This window comes from Homo sapiens, chromosome 16, assembly GCF_000001405.40.
Source record: "Homo sapiens chromosome 16, GRCh38.p14 Primary Assembly".
NCBI classification, from domain to species: domain Eukaryota; kingdom Metazoa; phylum Chordata; class Mammalia; order Primates; family Hominidae; genus Homo; species Homo sapiens.
Window position 1 is genome coordinate 82,606,837 of NC_000016.10, and position 19,866 is coordinate 82,626,702.

The following is a 19,866-nucleotide window of genomic DNA, read 5'->3' on the forward strand; positions in this document are numbered from 1 at the left end:
AAGCTTGTTCTTCCTGCTTCACAAGGTTGCATGAGTCCATGTGTTAAGATATTCTTCCTTGGATAAAGAAAGAAATACATAGTTCCCACTGTCTTCCTGAAAGTGCCTGCCATTGGTTGTGATTCTGTCCTGTGGGGCTCCAGAGGACAAGGCTAAGCTGCCTTACACCAATGATGGTGAGATAATAGATGTGCAAGCACTTGGTAAACTGTAAAGTGCTGTGCCTGTGTGCAGCATTGTCGTTGCTGTGACCCATGAGTCTGATGGTCCACCGTGGGGTACTGAGAAAAAAAAGAGGGTGAAACTAGGAAGCTTCCATAGGCCAGGGGAGAGGCTATGGGGAAGGGAATTTCAAGTGGGATAAAAGCTGGGTAAGAAGGGAAGGGAGGATGCAATGATTAAAAAGAAAGGGTCAGTGCATTGGACATGATAATGGGCATCCTTCATATATTTTGTTTTATTTTATTTTATTTTATTTTGGAGACAGTGTCTTGCTCTGTTGTTACCCAGGCTGGAGTGCAGTGGCATGATCTCGGCTCACTTCCACCTCCACCTCCCGGGTTCAAGAGATTATCCTGCCTCAGCCTCCTGAGTAGCTGGGATTACAGGTGCATACCACCACACCCAGCTAATTTTTTTGTATTTTTAGTAGAGATGAGGTTTTGCCATGTTGGCCAGGCTGGTCTCAAACTCCTGGGCTGAAGTGATCCACTCACCTCGGCCTCCCAAAGTGCTGAGATTACAGATGTGAGCCACTGTGCCCAGACCTTCATATGTTTTAAGTTTGGATTTCACCCCTTCTTCCTTACCTCTGAACTTAGGGTTGTCCAAGTCCCTCTTGATATGATAAAAGATTTAAGCTCAAGGTTCCAGTCGCCTTAACTATTTCAGTCATCACTAAGATGATCACCTTCTTTGAAAAACACACTTTGTACCTGTTGATATCGTCTCGAGTTGCACTGGCCATTTCTTTTTGCCAGCTGTGTTTTATATTGGGCTGGCGGAGCTTACAGTCAACTCATGCATCTTTTCTCTTATGAGCTGGTACCAATTTGGCTCTCACTATTTTTCCATTTTGTATTTAAGATAAGGGAAGAAATTTTCTGTAATTAATATTTTTTAATAATGTAAAATGTCAGTGGCTTAAACAGGCATGATGAGGCTCCAGCCAGGTGGACAATCCCATATGGGTTTCCAGGAACTTAAGCGGGGATTGGTGAAGTGGTGACCGGAAGCAGAGAGGGGAGGGAAGGGCCAGAGGGCTAGTGTGGGAGGACCAGCCTCCCTAATGGCCCCCAGTGAACCTGGCCCCCTACTGTTCATGCCCTTGTGTAGTCTGCTCATGAAGTAACTCAGAGAGACTATCAAGTATGGCCATGATTACAGCTTGTTAATCTCTCAGGCTTTCATAAAAGGCATGGCAGCTTCTACCTTGGCCTCTTGGGTCTCTTAGTTTGAGGGCATCCGGTGACCATGACCTGGGGAACCTCAAGCAGCTTTCTGGAGAGGCCCAGGTGAAGGAGAACTGGGGTCTCCTGTAGACAGCCAGCACCAATTTGCCAGCCATGTGGGCAGCTACTCTGAAAGATCCTCCTAAGACAAACATTCAAGTGGCTGCCATCCTGGCCAAGTCCTTGCCGCTGATAGACACCCCCCAGTCAGGAATGCCCAGCTAAGCCACTCCTGAATTCCTGACCCATTGAAACTCTAAATGATAGTAAACGTTTATTGTTGTTTTAAGCTACCAAGTTTTGGGGTAGCGATAGATAACTAACATAGTGGGTACAAGCTCTGTGCCGGGGAGAGCTGAGGGTCAAGTTAGAGAAGTCAGTTTTTGCTTTTGCTCCATGGAGTAAAAGTTTTTGCAGGAAAAAAAGCCTTTTTATTTTATTTTTCTAAGAAAACGTTGTAGTTTATGAGAACTGCTTCTCAGGAAGGAGGGAAGTGTTGACCACTCAGGGGTCTGGAGCTACTGCACCCCTTAACATATCAAGTCACAGGCTTAAGAATCCATGAATACAACAGAAAGTCCCAGTGAACATGGCCTGTGGTTGTCAGGGGATGAAGGGGTCTTGTGACATTCGGAAGAGAAAGATGAAGTATTGTGATGTGCAGTGGGGGAGAGGAAGGTGGTCCTTGCCATAAATTAGCAAACTTCATTCAGACTTTTAGAAAAGCATACAGAAAACATATCTTTGAAAGAAGTTGCAATATTTGTTCAGTAAAACGTATAGGATCTCCAAATGCGTTGTAGTGTTTGTCCAAGGAAGTAAAGCACTGAAGATCTATAAAGCAGTCATGGTGTGGTTTCAGCAGAGTAAAATACTCTGACTCTCTCATTAATTGAGATTTTTGAGTTTTGGGATACGTGAGATGAAGTTCAACTGACCGTGGATTATCATCAGCAGGAGGCCAGAAATGAAAGCCAGACCATAAGGATCAGGAGCAGGGCAGAGCCGGAGTGGCCAGGGCCAGGGCTCAGAGCCAAGTGAGGATGCTTGACAGTTGCTGCAAACATGGCTGCTCAGATATTTTTAGAGGGACTGTTAAGAGTCTATGACTGGGATAAGCAACTCCCTGCTCCAGTCTGGGATTCTCTGGTCCTATTCTCAGAAACTTGGGCAGTAACAGGGCTCTGGTAGTGCTTGCCTACTCCTGGGATATATAAAAAATCTATTGACTGAGTCAAGTTGAGGCCACAGATATCAGGATGCAAGGGATTCTGGTTCTCGCAGTGAGGGCTCCACACCTTCTGTACATAGGCAATCTAGTGTGGGATTTCCAGTTTTCCTGGGAGAAGGCAGGTTTTTCTGTTTTTTTTTTTTTTTTCCCTGTCCTAGTACATGTGCCTGAGTCGTCCAAACGATACGGGATGACTGGATGAAAGGTGCCCAGCTAGGCCAGGCGTGGTGGCTCACGCCTGTAATCCTAGCACTTTGGGAGGCTGAGGCAGGCGGATCACTTGAGGTCAGGAATTCAAGACCAGCCTGGCCAACATGGTGAAACCCTGTCTCTACAAAAAAAAAAAAAAAAAAAAAAATTAGCTGGGCATGATGGAGCATGCCTGTAATCCCAGCTACTCGGGAGGCTGAGGTGGGAGAATCGCTTGAACCCAGGGGTAGGGTGCAGAGGTTGCAGTGAACCGAGATTGTGCCATTGCACTCCAGCCTGGGTGACAAAGAGATACTCCATCTCAAAAACAAAAACAAACAAACAAACAAAAAACAAAAAGAAAAGAAAGGTCCCCATCTAAGCTGATGACAATTAGAAGTACTATTATTTTCAAGACGTTAAGTCAGCTTACCTTTCCAGTAACCTAGGTCTCTTAATAGTGTTTTCCTTTTTCTGATTGAAAATAAAATGCAACCAATTGAAAAAATAAATAACGTTAGAGAATTGTGAAAAGGCAATAATGTCTTCATCCAGGCACTCAAAAATATGGGTCATTTTTATGATTCTCATGGGCACATGAAATACATACATGAAGGGTATGGCCTAAACAAGACTGATTTGGTTGCAAGAACCAAAATCTGATTTGAAACAAACCAGCAAGCAAAAGCCAAACAAATAACCCCCCCCAAAAAACAAAAGAAGGAAGAAAGAAAAGGGTGAAAGAAAGAAAGAAAGAAAAGAAAAAAAGAAAAAAAAAGAAAAGGAAAAGAAAAGAAAAGAAAAAAGAAAAAAGAAAAGGAAAGAAAGAAAGAAAAGAAAGAAATTTATTGGATTTTGCTTTGGATGTTTGGCTTAGCTGCCATCTTCCATTCTCCGTATTTCTTGGTTCAGATTCTCAAGAGAGAGAATTGGATTGGCCAAGAGCAGTTCAGGATCCTTCCAAGGCAGGCAGGCTAGGACAGAGTGGTGGCAGGGCCTTCTCCTCTGGGTTGGAAGGGTCATTATTAGATGGGAGGTTCATGTACTAGGCAGACACTCCAAAATGTCTACTACAAACCTCCACACTGGTGGGGAGCACTGGCCAGCTTATAACCACACACACTTCGGTGGGCTATAAGAAATCCAAAGCTTTAAGGTTGTCTGATTTAGCAAAAAAGAAAGTTATTATAAGTATTTAATAGTTGTGACATATTTAATACCAGGAAATTGTTTGTTGTTTATCTGAAATTCAAATTCAACTGCACATCCTTTATTGTATCTGGCAACTTGACCCAAGGGTGAGGGTTATCCTTCTTCGTTGGAGCTGTCATGGAAAAAGAACTGGGAAAATTTTAACTCTGAGTCTCAAACTAAGTTTTTCATGCCCAAGGGCTGCTTGTATTCATGTCCTGTTTGTTTTCTGTGATCTGTTTTCATTTTCAAGAGAAGCAACCTGGTTTGATGAGAAAACAGAGACCCCGACACTGAGGTCTGAATCTGCCACTTGTGGACTGCATGATGCTGAGCAAGCCAGTGAGGTACCTCTGTCTTCTCATCTGGAAACCAGGCATCGCCATGCCTATTTCAGAAGGGTCCTGTGAGCTCCATCCCTGTTGTTCCAAATGGTAACACTTCCTTTGTTCTTCAGGCTGAATAGTATTCCATCCCATATATATATATATATATACACACACACACACACACACACACATACATATATATACACACATATACATATATACACATATGCATATATACATATACACACTTATGCATACATACATACATACTCTACATACATGGATGTATATACATCTTCTTTATCATTTCATTCATTAATGAAGCACTTAGATTGTTTCCATTCTTTGGCTATTCTGAAAAATGGCGCAATGAACGTAACAACACAGATAAGTCTTTGAGATACTGAATTTAATTTCTTTGGAAAAATATCCAAAAGTGCTCAGTGAAACAAGCGAGACAGAGAGAGGCAAATACTGTATGATCTTCCTTCTATGTGGAATGTACAATAGTCAAACTCATAGAAGCAGAGAGTAGAAGGGTGGTTGCCAGGGGGTGATGGAGGGAGAGGGATACAGGGAAATGTTGCTCAAGGAGCACAGAGTTTCAGCTATGCCGGATAAATAAGTTTTGGAGATCTAATGTACAGCGTGGTGACTGTAGCTAACAATAGTGTTTCACACTTGAAATCTGCTAGGAGCAGAGAGCTCAAATGTGTTGTTCTTAGCACACACATACACACACAATGTAACCATGAGAGCTGATGGGTATGTTAATTGTTGTAATCATGGTGATTATTTCACAATGAATACATACATCAAATCATCAAGTTATGTAACTTGAAGATGTACAATTAAAAAAATTATTTAAATATTGTTGTGAGGAAGAATACCTAGGGGGATACCAGCCATGCGGCAGGTTCTCAACTAATACATGTGTTCCTTCTCCTTGCTTACTCATCATACAAACAGAAACACCAGTATCTATTATCATTATTGAGTAGCTATGATCATGTATATGCCAGCTGTGGGATCGTGTGCTGTTCAAGCACTGTCTCATTGGATTCTGGCAACAATCAAGTGAGAGAGCTACTATATCCCTCTCTAATTTACTGATGATGAAACTGGGGCTTAGGATGGTAAAAGAGTAGTCCAGGGACACAAAGCTTCTAAACAGCAGAACCAGGATGTAATCCTGGGGCCGGGCGCCTCCAGCGTTCAAGCTGCCAGTTCTCAGTACTTTTCCTTGTACTCAGAAAGCAGAAATCCCATTGTGTGGCATGTGGAACAGTTGCAGTGTTGAATCTACCCTCTGTTCAAGTATAATTGGGCCTGCAACCACTTATTGACTAATATTTGTTGAGTATTTACACCATTGCAGGCTCTCTTCTGGACACTGGGAATGCACTGATGAGCAGGGAAAGTCTCTTCATGGAATTCCAATCCCAGTTAGGACACAGACAATAAACAAACAGACACAAGCAAGACCGAGCATCATATTGCAATACGTGATATAAAGAGAATGATATGGAGGAATGAGAGATGTGACTGTTGGTTAGGGAGTCAGAAAGGGATATTTTGAAGAAGGATGTTCCCGGAACATTTCTCTGAGGAGGTGGCCCGTGAGCCAAGTCCTAAAGCAAACATGGGGAGATGCAGACGGAGGGCTGATGGCAACAAGAACAAGCCAGGAGTGATATGGGCTCAGCGAAGAGGCCGGTGTGAAGCAGAGTGTGCAAGGCAGAGAGGTAGGAGATGAGGTCAGACCACAGCAAGGAGGTAGAGATTTATTCCTTGGTGATGGGGAGATACACAGCGCCAACCACAGCTTCAGAAGAAAGCCCTCCTGTCTCCAAGGCGCTGAAGCCTGCATGAGGAAACCAATCATGCCACTTATCGCCCCAGTTTGAAAAGTAATTGCAGACACATGTGAAAAGGGCAGGGCAATCTTTTCTGCCAATTATGTGCCCTGTTATTAGGCGATTAGAAGCTGGTGAAGTCACGGTGTGAGGGATTAGCCGCACAATCTCCTCTCCCACCGCCTCCTCATTTCTGCTGCTTCTCCTGAGGGCACACTCTTCCTTCCCCAGGGAATGGTCCCAGCTTGAACAGGTGCCTTTCCAAATGATGTCCTCTAAAGCAGCTTGTCCTTGTTTGTAAAAGAAAAATGAGACCGGCAAGAGACCCTTAAAAAACTGCAGCTGAAAAGCAAGGTGACAATATTGCAGACTTTCGAAGGGTCTTGTCCTGAGTGTTCCCAGAGCTGGGAATCCACCAGATTGTGTTGGTCCTTGACACACTTCCATTCATATGCCCCTTTCGTGTTTTATTCAGTTCTTATGCCTGTGTACACCTGCCCATTTCTGTGGGTCTTTTCTTCACTGATTTATCCAGCTTCTCATTCTTTAAGCCAATACTTAACTTAGCACCTATTTTCTGCCTGGCACAGAGCTATTCTTTTAAATTAATGGTGAAGTCTAGTGGTTAAGAGCTTTGGGCCCAAACAGTCCTGAATTCAAATCCCAACTCAGCTCCTTCAGTTCTTCCTACATTTAGCTGTGTCATCTGTGTACATGTTTAAGTCATATAACTTAATGGGGACAGTGGAGGGATGGGGGTCTCTGTCTCTCTAATGCCCTTCATTCATCCTCATTCTCAGCCCTGATGGATAGGAGACTTTCAGCCTAGCACCCTAACACAGGGTAGATGTCAGTGGTGGCAAGAGGACGTTGGTTGGTGTGTAGTGTCCCACTCTGGAGGTGAAGATCCAAGAGCAGGGCGGCTCTGCAGGGCGTGGCCTCTGAGGGCAGGACACGTGGGCGTCGAGGAACTGCATGAAGCAGGAAGGCTGGGAGGAAGAAAGAGAGGCAAAGGGAAAAGGGAGCAGAGACAAGATAAGGGGCTTGCCACACCATCAAAGAGGAATCCCTGGGGCCTGAATAAAAGCCAGCTAAGCCATCCTGTTCCTGGGCTTCTATGGAGCTTGGTTGGCTAAGGGTGTAACCTCAGGAACCAGATTGCTTGGGGTCAAATCCTGATTCTGCCTCTGTGAGCTGTGTGAGCTTGGGCAAGGGATCAAACCTCTCTGTGCCTCATTGTCTCCTCTATACAAAGTGAGCCTAATAATAGAACTGACTTTGTCGGATGGCTTAGAAGGATTCCATGAGTTCATACACACAAAACGCTTACAGTTACGCCCACCGCAGATTAAGCGTTAGCAATTGTCCAAATCTAATTGTTCTACTCTTCTCCTTTCCTGCCCGCGTTTCACCAGAAAACTTGCTGTCTGGGATATTTGTTTTGTTTGCTACTATATTCCCTGTTCTATTTCCTGGAACAGTGCTCGAACCCAACTGATATTTTTTAAAGTTTGTTTGAATGGATGAATACATGAAAGAATATGTGAATTACTATCCTGTGTACTTTGTGTTCTTGATCAGCTCTGTGTGATAATGGGCTCCCTGCCCAACCTTTCAGATATTGTGGGCATAGTGGCAGTGTGGCATGATAATATTAATTGTAGGTGGGGCATGGTGGCTCATTCTTGTAATCCCAGCACTTTGGGAGGCTGAGGCAGGAGGATCACTTGAGCCCAAGGGACCAGCCTGGGTAACATAAGGAGACCCTGTCTGTACAAAAAATACAAAAATTAGCCGGGCATGGTGGCATACACTTATTATCCCAAGTACTTGGGAGGTTGAGATGGGAGGATTGTTCGAGCCCAAGAGGTTGAGGCTGCAGTCAGCCGAGATCGCGCCACTGCTCTCCAGCCTGGGTGACAGAGCGAGACTCTGTCTCAAAAAAAAAAAAAAAAAAAAATGGTAGCACCTGCTTTCTGAGGATAGAGGAGCATGATACCAGGCCCCCGCCTGGCACAATGAAAGTGCTCAGTCATGTTACTTGTTAGCGACATCATTGCTTTGTGTGGTATACCCCCTCTTTCATGACACCTGAGTGCTCACCAAGGCTTTTTGACCATGGTGAAGAATCTGACTATGATTGATATGATTGAGAGATGAAGGATCTCACTAAGACTAGATAACCTGGATTTTCCATTCCATGTGGCCAGGCTCTAGGCCTGTAACTCTCTGGTCGTGACTTCCTGGAATCAGCTAGAATTTTGCTATCTTGTGATTGTTTACCACTGTTAGTATACACCCTGTCTTAGATTCCACAGAATTGGCAGAGTCTGAAATATTTAGAAACATTGGGTCCAGTGAACAGTCCCATAAATTGTGCAGGTGTCCAGTTCTGCCACCCAGGGGCTGATTCCAAATCCTTGGTGGCCGTTCTCTTCTCCTAAGTTATGAACTTCTTACGTTGCTAGCTAATACAGGTACTTGAGTTTTGGCACATTCCATAAAACATAAGGATTGAAAGGGATCTGTAGAATAGCCAGTTCAACCCTGTCATAATACAGGCTAATATGTGTTTTACATGAACAAGCCATGTAGTTTGTATAACAGTCTATGAAATAGAAATAGGCACCAGCCCTTTTTATTGAAGGGGCATCTGAGATTCAGGAGTTAGCAGTTCTACAAAGCTAGAGATATGGCCTGTTCATCTTTCTATTGACAGATGAAGAGAGGCAGTATGGCAAGCTGGTCAAGTGTTTGTGTTCTAGAGCTGGGAGCTCTGGATTCGCACCCCTTTTCCACTAGCAATTATGCCTCAGTTTATTCATTTTAAGGTGAGAATAGTGATAGAACTGGCCTCTTAAGATTTTCATAAGTGGTAAACAATCTGACATGTAACAAGTGCTTAAAACAGTGGCTGACACATTACCAATGACTGTTAGCTATTAGTTAATTAAAATGATAATTATTATAATTGATAAAATACGATATTTTACATAAATAATAAAATAATATAATAGTAAATTTTAAGATAAAATAATCAACCCAATTAATTCTCAATTAACGTTTGTTATTATTTCTGTAGTTACTCCCACCATGTGGCACAGTACTTGGCAGATGGCAAGTGCTCAACAGTGATGAGTTAAGTAACTCACCCAAGTCTGGCTCTAGTAAGTGACAGAGTGGAATTTAAACCTAGGCTGTTGGATTCCAAAGGCTGTGCTTATTAGCAAGAAAGGAAACCAAGTCTTCAGAAACAGTGATCTGTTTTCACTGCAGCAAAAGTAAGCCTCAGAAACATGTCCAGGATCCAGGCGCTCTGACTCCCAGGTCAATGCTTGGTCCTCAATGACGTAGGTTCCTTCACCCCAGGGCAGGTTTGCCTATCACTGGTTATTGGTGAAAGGAGATAATCGTATTTCCTATGGGGCTGGTTATGATTCAATGAGAAAAGCATGAGTGTAAAGTGCTTGGAAAAGTGTCTCACACTTAATAAATGTCACATCTCTCATGATTACTTTTCATGCATGCATTTATTAATGCATAGGTGCTATTTTGAAGTGCTGTGCGTGCTTGCCACTGGGCTTATTGAGGACATAGATAAGAATCAGACTTGTTTCTTCACCTCAGGCAGCTCATGGTGCAGTGAAGGACTCCAGTAAATGAACAATAACATGTTGTAAGTGCATTTAACCCAGGCTGGGTAGATCAGGGGCAAATTCCTGGAGGAGGTGGCACTTCCTGGATGAGCTATGGTCCACTGTGTGGACCTAGGCCTGCAGAGGAGAAAGGTGATACAGATAATTCCAAGGAAGCAGCAGGTGCAAAGGTCCTGAGGAAAATGAAGTAGCCTCACCTGAGGTGGGATGAATGGGAGAATGTTCTCTGTGGTTGGTACTTGACCTTTGTTGTGGGAGATTAACATAGAAAAACAGCTATATAGGATCTTTATGCATGGCATCGAATGCCAAGTTAGGGATTTGGACTTTAACCTAAGGGCAATGAGAGGCTACTGAAGGTTGTACATAGATACCACAAAGACCAGGGACAAACTTGCTGTTATTAACTGCTGAGTAAAATTATGCATGGATCATAGTAGACATTTGATATTTATTGGTTGAATTAAAAATTGCCCTGGCAACAATGTGGAAATAAGACTGAGGAGTTTGGGGAGACTGGCAACCTACAAACCAATTATTTAGTTTGATTCCAGAAATGTACTTCTTTTCTTTTTCCTTTTTTTTTTTTGTTTTACTATATCTTGCTTTTTATAAAAACAACTGCTGAATGAATGAATGAATGAAGAAGGTGTTGTCATAGTCTACTTTCTTTGTTAAGAGAGAGACAGTTTATGGGCATCCAAGGCAATGTTACCTGAGAGTACTGAAGTAAGTAAGTTCTGGAATAAATAACCATTTAACCCCCAAAGAATAGTAACTGGGCCATGGACATCTTCTGGGAATATGCTGAGACCTGTCTCTTCACCCAGAAGCCCTATGACAAGCAACGAGAATTCTTTGTCTTCTCTCTTGACACTCTCTGATCTTCGGAGTCTCCTGGGGAGAAAAAGTGAATCAATAGATTCATTACACGAACAAGGACCTGGCACTCTGAAAAGGCTTTAGATGAATTCCTGACCTGTCAAGTAAGAGAAAATAGTGTTGAAAATACTCTACCATGTCTTGTTCAGGTGTGCCCTGGTTCAACTCAGTATCTCCAGATTCACCTTGGGACAGTGGCGTCCTCAGTCCACCTAGGCCATGTCCCACAGCCCACAGGAGATTGGTCTTGGCAAAGAGAATAGGTTGTAATCTACTTGGCTTGCCTGCAGGGCCCCTGGGCCCTTGGTCTTATGGTTTATGTAATATGAGCCTTATAAATATGCATGCTTACTCCTGGCCATATTTTTGCACAGAGGTTCCTTGGCAGTGTCCTGCCATCATCAAGCGTTGGGCCACTTGGTATTTCTGATGAGATTAATGCGTTTAGAGAGTCACTGGTCCATCCACTCTCATTGGCTGTAAGACCATCTGTTCATTTATTTCTTAAGAAATAGATTAGGCCAGGCACGGTGGTGCACGCCTGTAATTCCATCACTTTGGGAGGCTGAGGCAGGTGGATCATCTGAGGTCAAGAGTTCATGACCAGCCTGACTAAAATGGTGAAACCCCATCTCTACTAAATACAAAAAAAATTAGCCGGGCGTGGTGGCACATGCCAGTAATCCAAGCTACTTGGGAGGCTGAGACGGGAGAATTCTTGTACCTGGGTGGTGGAGGTTGCAGTGAGCTGAGATCGCTCCATTGCACTCCAGCCTGGGCAACAAGAGTGAAACTCCATCTCAAAGAACAAAAAAAGGAATAGATTATTAAGTGCTTGTCATGAAGCAGGTATGGTCCTAAGTAGTGGAGTCCAATAATAAATTAAGAGCTATGTAGTTGCCATCATGGAACTCATATTCTAGTGAGGGAAACAAACATAAAAAGCTAACAACAAATAAAATGGTGACAAATGATAGGAAGTGACACGAAGGAAACAACCAGGACATAAGCCAATGAAGGGTGACTGGAGAGGGACAGCACCTCTTCTGAAGAGGTGACATCAAAACAAATTCTGGGAGGATGAAAATGACCTAGAAGTTGGGAAAAGGAACATTCCAGATGGAGAGACTAGAATGTGCGCAGGGGTGGGGAAGAGCTTGACAGATTTGATAGCCAAGAGAAGGGCAGAGTGCAGTGAGCAAGAGGGAAGTGGAAATGGAATGAATTTGGAGAGGGAGACAGGAGAGAACTTTGTAAGACATTGTGGGCCGTGGTGAGCTTCCCTTTTCTGTCATGCGCTAGGAGAGAATTTAATGAGTCAACATACTCACTTTCAACTTTTATGCATTGGAAACAGGACCAGCGGAGACCATTTCTATGTCCATTTGGAGTGTTGGGACTGAATGGGGATGCAAAAGAGGACTGCACTTTGAGAACCACTGCTCTGGGAGATGGATGCTGAGGTACAAGAGATGTACTGTTGGATATTTTGTTTTGCTGCAGTAAATGTAAGTATTCGAAACAGCAGACTTGCAGGGCTAAGGAAGAACTCTACGATGCACCTGCACTCTCTTAGTGATGCATCCCACTCCTGTCTATTAAATATCTGCTCAGTGCCAGGCAATGTGCAGGCAATGAGTATCCGAGAGAGAGGGACAGACATCATCCCCGACCTAATGGAAAATGCACGCCCGTCATTTTAAATCCACAGAAGCTCAGATTCAAAAAACAACAGAGTCTTAGATTTGCCTTTTCTGGGTCTCATTTGGTTAAATTCTGACAGCTGTCACACAATCAGAATCATTAAAATCTAGTTTTCTGTGCTTAACTTGCTTCCACCGATTAACTTTCCCCAACTTATTATAGTGGTCCTGACCTTGGTCTATTCATAAAAGACCATAGCAACCACTAACCGGATGGGTTGCTTTTTATAGGAGCAGCACAGTTTTATCTACTAGAGGCATTGGCAGATTTGGATTACATTGTAAATAAATTTATCCAATGCAAACATTCACCAATCTGCATTGCATTGTAAATACATTTTCCCAAGTGATTGTTAAGTGATGGCCTTACAATCATGTTGGCATAAGAAAAACAACCAGAGAGAGATTCAGTAGCTTTGTAGTAAGTGTTGATGAAGGAAATGGGATTTGTAAGGTGACAGTCAGCTTGGATTAGATGGATGGAAGGAGAGGGCCATTTGGTGAGTCAAGGAATCATCAAGGAATTGAATTTGTGATAGACATTAAGTGTTGGCCATACCTATGTAAATATCTATGTTAGATGTTAAGTATTCAGCTTTTTGCCCGTTCCCTGAGCTACACATAGTCCCAAGAAGGGGTATTATTTATATACAAGTCATCTATTTCTGGATAAAACAACCACAGCAATCTCTGTGTCATATGGCAGTAAAGATTTATTCCAATGGATTGGCTGAGGTTTTGCTGGTCTGATCTAGGCTGGGGCAGTCAGATCTCACTGCAGGTCTGAGATAGAATGGAGTGTCTCAGCTTCACATGGTTCTCACTTTCTTGGACCAGCAAGACATACAGGAAATGTTCCTTTCATGGAAATGGCAGTGGCATAAGAGAACAAAGGGCTCTTAAGACATATGCTTAGAAGTGCACACTGCCACCCCCATCTCATTTGATTCACCAGTGCAAGCCAAACGGACAAGCCCAAGGTCAAAGTGGAGTATATTCACTCCACCTTTGATGAAGCAAGAATTAGATCCAGGTAGAGGTGAAGAATTAGGGCTCAAAGCAAATCTACCATATTCATAAGTAAGTTTTCATTCATCTATTATTGCATAGGCTCATGTTATATGCCAGACACTGTGTGGGGCAGCAGGAGAGATGTCCATGTCATATTCCTATACCACTCACTAGTTAGGAACCTGATAAAAAGAGTTCTTTCTCGCATTATCTTCTATATGTTGTGTACGACAGTCTGCTAAGAAGTCTCTCTTCCTCTATTCTGGCCCTTAATTCAACCCATCTTCCAATGTGGCTGGAATGATCTTCCTAAACTGTAAATTAGATATTAAACCTCTGTTTAAGCAGTTTAAATGATTCCCTCTTGGCAGTAGGATAAAGTTCAGTCTCCCTAAGGTTGATGCTTAAGCTGGTTCTCATCTGAACCCCTAAACTGCCCAGCCTTGCCTTCTGCCATTCCTCTGGTTACCAGCCACTTCCACAAATGCCTTTTTTTTCTTCACTTTCCCTTTGTTCTAGCTCAATGATTCCTGACTTGGGGACCAGAGATGGGCAGATTGGGACAGGAGGGCTGTGAAGTCATTGCAAGAGATCTTATCTAAATACACAGTAAGCGTTGCTTGTCAAGTGAATAAATAATACCCCCTGACACAAACACAGGCACTGTCATTTTGGACCTTCACCTAGATGCGATTGTAAAGAATGAACTTCAAATTCTGCTAGAAGGAAGGGTTGAATTATGAGCTTTCCTTTGCAGTTATTTCTTTTCTCATCAATGGATATGAAAAATACAACATCTGCGAAGTGGAGACCCATGATGGTTTTTGACACATAATAGAAACCAGCAGTGAATCCCTTGTCTCTTCTTTTTTATTTTTTATTTATTTATTTTTTCCCTCAGACAGGGTCTTGCTCTGTCACCCAGGCTGGAGTGCAATGGCACAATCTTGGCTCACTGTAACCTCTGCCTCCCGGACTCAAGTGATCCTCCCACCTTGGCCTCCTGAGTAGCTGGGAACACAGGCATGTGTCACCACGCCCAGCTAATTTTTGTAATTTTTGGAGAGATGGGTTTTCACCACGTTGCCCAGGCTGGTCCCGAACTTCTGGACTCAAATGATCCACGCGCCTCAGCCTCCGAAAGTGTTGGGATTACGGGCGTGAGCCACTGCACCCGGCCCCCTCGTGTTTTCTTAAACACATCTTGATCCTTCATACCTCTGGCTACCTTGACTGTGTTTCAGCACCCCCTGTAGCACATTATAACATAATTTCTCCCAATTAGTCATATTTTCTTAAGCATACACACCATGCATCATAATTTATTTCCCTGTTGCTTAACTCAGGGGCTAATATGCAATAGGCACTTTAGGGATACTTTTTAAATGAATAAATAAATATTTGTGAGTGAGTAGTGGAGAACTCTCTGGAGCATTGGTTTTCAAAGTGTACATTCCAAGGGCTTGTAAAACACAGAATGCTGGACTCCACCCCTGAATTTCCAAACTAGTAGAACTAGGGGCCTGATCTGCCTGGGAATTTTTCATTGCTGACAAGTTTCCAGGTGATACTGATGCTGCCAGTCTTGGGCCACACTGTAAACGTCATTGTCATACTAAATTGGCACTGAGATGATTCTCTGTGTAAAAATAACCCCAGCCACTAATTTTGGGTAAGGGAGACACCTAGAGGGGGGTTTTAACTGCTTCTTGTTCAGAGAATAAAAATTGGTGTCTGAATGCCCAGTTTTGCTTCTCATGAGGGACTGAAGTACTAAAGACAATTGGGCCAATTTAACTGAGATGGCCTAAAAGTCACCCCTGGTTTCATCTCCATTGCTAGTGTGGAAGTCATGCTTGTATTAAACATATTCACAGAGGACACTGTATTAGGGCAGAACCTAAAAAGATGAAGGAGTATTTTTTGTCTTATTCTTAGATGTGTGGGCTCTGCCTACATCGAGGAAATTCAGAAGGATATCACACCCTGTGTGTCCTCCACAAAAGATCTTCAGACACCCACAGGCTCACACATGTTCTTCACTGTGTCTAGTCCTGGTCTGGACTATTGTGAGAAGACCTTGCATCGTAGGGAGCTACATGTGATGGGCCTCTCAGCATCACACATTTTTCAACACAAAAGCCAATTAATTCACCCGCTCAAACCAAGTCTTCTAAGCACCTGCCGTGCTCCAGACCCTGTTCTGAGCACGCAGCAGTAAAAATACAGAAATGAGCTTACATTCCAGAGGAAGAGACAGACAACAAGCCAACAGATGTAATCACTCATTAATTATTGCTACAAAACAAATTACCTCAAAATATAAAGCAATTGTTTATTTTCAGGTCACATACCTGCTGATCAGCTGAGCTGGGCAAATTTGGCTGGGCAAGCATCTGTGGGCCCATGAGGGGCTCATATTTCCTCCTAGGACCGGCGGGATAGCCCACAAATGCTCTTTTCAAGGCATCAGTAGGAGCTTTTGCGAGAGTAAGCTAAAACACAGAGGGTCTCTTGGGACCTGAGCTTATAACTGGTACCCCATCCCTTCTGCTTCATTTCATTTGTCACAGAAGTTGCATGGCTAAACCCAAGGCCAAGGGGCAAAGGGCACAGATGCAGGTTGGAGTGAAGGATTGAGATGACAACGCAAGCAACAATGCGTAGCAGAAGGTCAAGTAACATAGGGGGCCAGGAAGAAACACGAAGCAGTGTTTGTGGCTTAAGAGTGATCAGGAATGCTACTTTTGGTCAGCATTCTGGTAGCCAGGGAGACTTGTTGTAGGACGGTGCATTGTCCTAATCTTGGGTGTTTTTAGCAGGTGTTCCCATTGTAGGGAGTGAGACATTAGCATGAAGGTATGTTGCAGTGCTGTGTGATACAGGCTTCCCTGCATGCTGTCCAAGTGGGTCTCTGTTATCCAGGTCCCCAGACACGCCTAATCACTGGGTTGTTGCATAAGGGCTCCTAGCTGGATTAATCCCGCTCTATACAAATGCCTCATCATAGCAGCACATTGAAAGCATAACAAAATTTGAATACATTATCTCTGCCGGACTATATGCCAGTCACTCCCTCCCCCCAGCACACACACACCCATGTGCTTATATGCATACACACAGGAACATGCACGCACTCACACAGCCACATCCACCCACTGTGGAATGCCTTCATCAACATCAGCCAAGGACAGGAAACAAACTCAACCCTTGGCACCCACAGGAGGCAGCTACTGGCTGTTGGATTATTCCCTCCGTGCCAAAGCTAGGCTGATGCGTCTGGAAAAGGGGTGTGAACCTCGAATGTGTCTAAAGGCAGACACAGCTTCTTGAGGAGCCCACAGATGCTACAGCAGCTGGGGCTTGGTCGGGGGATGATACGGGGTAGGCGGTGGAGTGGGGATACGTAGGGCTCAACTTTAGTATTTATTTGCCACATCAATCAATTAATCAGCCAAAAAACCCTTATTAGGGAACTGAATAAAAAGCAAAGCAAAACGAAGAATGGATTTCTTCTTCAGAAGCCTTTTATCATTGGAATGAAATAATTTTTCTTCTGTCTTTGTTGGACAAAATATGATCTCTTGTTCTTTGTTGAAGTGCACGTTCTCTGAAAGTCGAGAGGAATAGATGATAGAGGGGAAGAGAAACATCAATATTTACAACAGTCCTGGGAGTGTTATCATGTTATCATTCGCATTTTATTGATGACATACTGAGTCTTAGGGTACCAAACTGACTTGCCTCATATATGTGGAATCTGAAGATCTCAGTTCAGGTCTAATCTTTCTGACAAATCTTTTTCCACCTTAGTAGGCTTGGCATGTTTTGAACCTCGTGGGATTACAGAAGTGAGCCTCAATGCCTAGGGAGACTCCAGAAGACAACTCCTCTCATTCCTTAAAAGCCAATCTGTGGGGATTGAGGTGAGGAAGGAGTGAAGACTGGCCCTTTGGGCACACCCACCTGGAATCAGGCAAGGTTTACTGGAGCCACTCTGCCTGCCAGCAGAACAGCCCAGGAAAAAAGCCTGGGACCTTTGCAAATGCCTGAGCAGGACTTTGCAGGGGACAGAGTCAGCAGGATTTTCACCAAACGACATCCATCTTAATTGGTAGCATCAGACTCATGAGGTCTTCTATGGCCTGGGCATCACAGACTCTCATTACTGGTCGTACTGCCAATGGCCTCCTTTTATATATAGTTGATGAATTTGAGGACAAACCAGAGAATTGCCCTTGGCCAAACCAAGCTGTCTCACCCAAGATTTTTCCCCTCCTTGGGGAAATACTGGGGCAAAAAGCACGTCCAGGGAAACCAATCTGCCTGACACTGGCAATTAAATGCTCCAGGCTTGAAGGGACATGGCACTTTTGCACATGGCTCATTGGCTAGATGTACACACACTGCCCCACCCCAGCAACAAGGGGGCCAGTAAATGCAATCCCACCATGATCCCAAAAGGGGAAAAATTGGAAATATTTGGTCATCAGCACTAAGGACAAGGGAATGGGGAGACCACAGAAGGCCAGCAGAACTGTAAAACTGACAGCACCGAACTGTCCTTAGAACACAGCCTTGAAAACTCCCTCTTCTGAGGGACTGCTTCCCTTAACTGAGCTGCTGCAGATGGAAACCTAGCTAGATCCTCATCTTCTGCAGTCTAGTCCCTCACTGTGGTTTATCACCTCCCAAGCTGTCCTCTGCTCTCTTTCCCTATCTTTGTGTTGCTAAGCCATGGACTCAGTTTAGCTGGCCCTGAATTACAAGATGGCACCTTCCCTGGAGTGGAGAAAAGTCCGGATATTTCAGGATGCCTTGATTTGAAGCCTGTTTGACTCCAAAGTTCTCTGGTTTACTCCCACCTGTGGGAAACGTGAGGCTAGATCTCCACACACATGGATTCCAAAGTGTCATGATCTGTGACGTCATCTGTCGGACCGTATTGATCAGAGGCTCAGGGACAGATGACCCTATTTAGGCAAGGAAATGAGTGGGTGAAGCAGCAAGATTCACCTTTCCCAGTTTCATCTGGGGGTTGTTTTGCCAACATTGCCATCTGTTGGGCCAGTGCTGGCTACAGCAGCCAAGCTTCAGACATCACTGCATCTTTATCAATGACCTTGGGACCACAGGAGGTGACCTTCTGACCAAACAGCAGCCAATGAAGGAATCTTAAAAGGCACATCACTTTATATTTATTCAGTGGTTATGTCATCACTTAATCCTCACCACAACCTTGTGAGTTCAGTAGAATTTGTGTTTTCATTTTATCTGTGAACAAATGGAGGCAGAGAGTTTGAGTAATTTACAAGTAAGTGGCAGATCCGGGGGCTGTGCCTAGACAATGTGGCTCCAGACTCCTTGCCCCTCCCTGCCTTCTGCTGCATCTTGATTGAGTCTAGCCATCTATTTCTTTAACACACACTAATTGCTGTCTCCATGTTCCAGGCCCTGTGCCAGATGCTAGAAATACATCCCCATCCACTGGATCTTGGCATGGTCCATTGCTCAGTGTCCTGCTATGTTACGTGTTACATAATGCATTTATTCCGGTATTTAGCCCATGGAAAATAATGCTGAAAGACATTGTATGCATGTTTCTACAACAAAACTATGTAACTTATGTTTCTTTTATTGCTTTGGCTATCAGGAAGCTCTTATCCAAATCAGAGCAAATACATTAGAATTTGGGCTTGTCATTTCAGTTTGCTGAACTTTTCCTTCTGGCCCAGATTTTCTATTTTGGTTCATAAATTCTATTGCACAAATGTCCTTTATTGTAAAACACCTTAAATTCTTTCTAAGGGAAGGCTGCATGGAAATGATACAGTAAGGTCTTCCCTGCATTTTCTTAGATTCCTATTAGGGAAGGCAGACCTAGATGTCCCTCTTACCCTCAGTCCCAAAGCCCCCCATTTATAAAATCCCTTAAGCAGTGACTACTGCTGTTCTGAGTACCTGGAGGTAGTTCAGAGCTTCTGAAAGGTAACATCCATATACAAAAAGAAGTTCCTTCCGATCCAGATCCCAGCTTTGGTGCCAGATGCACATTTGAGGAGTAGGTGGCTAGTCAGACTCTCACCTGAGCAGTTAATAAAATCTATTGCCCCTTAATGGAATTTTTTCTGCAAGCTCGAATTGATCTGTCATCTTTGTGATTTGTGAGATGGCAGGGAAGCACCAAACACCATCATGACTTGGGCCACAGTGGGGGGAAAAAAGGAAAAAAGAAAAAAAAAATCCACTGCCAAGCCTTGCCAGGCGTAGAAAGGGCTGGAACTGCTGGGGCCATTTTATCTGATTTATTGGAAATAGAGTGGATCTTATTAACATTTTAATAAAGAGAATCTTTTTGCACTAGGCT

At 43.7% G+C, this 19,866-nt stretch overlaps 1 annotated feature.

Moving 5' to 3' along the window:
• Nucleotides 14,117–14,617: an enhancer, noted in NCBI's record as "H3K4me1 hESC enhancer chr16:82654558-82655058 (GRCh37/hg19 assembly coordinates)". NCBI's record gives its function as "activates a minimal SCP1, AML or CMV promoter by ChIP-STARR-seq in primed H9 embryonic stem cells {active_cell/tissue: H9 hESC(primed)}" and the evidence as "EXISTENCE:reporter gene assay evidence [ECO:0000049][PMID:30033119]".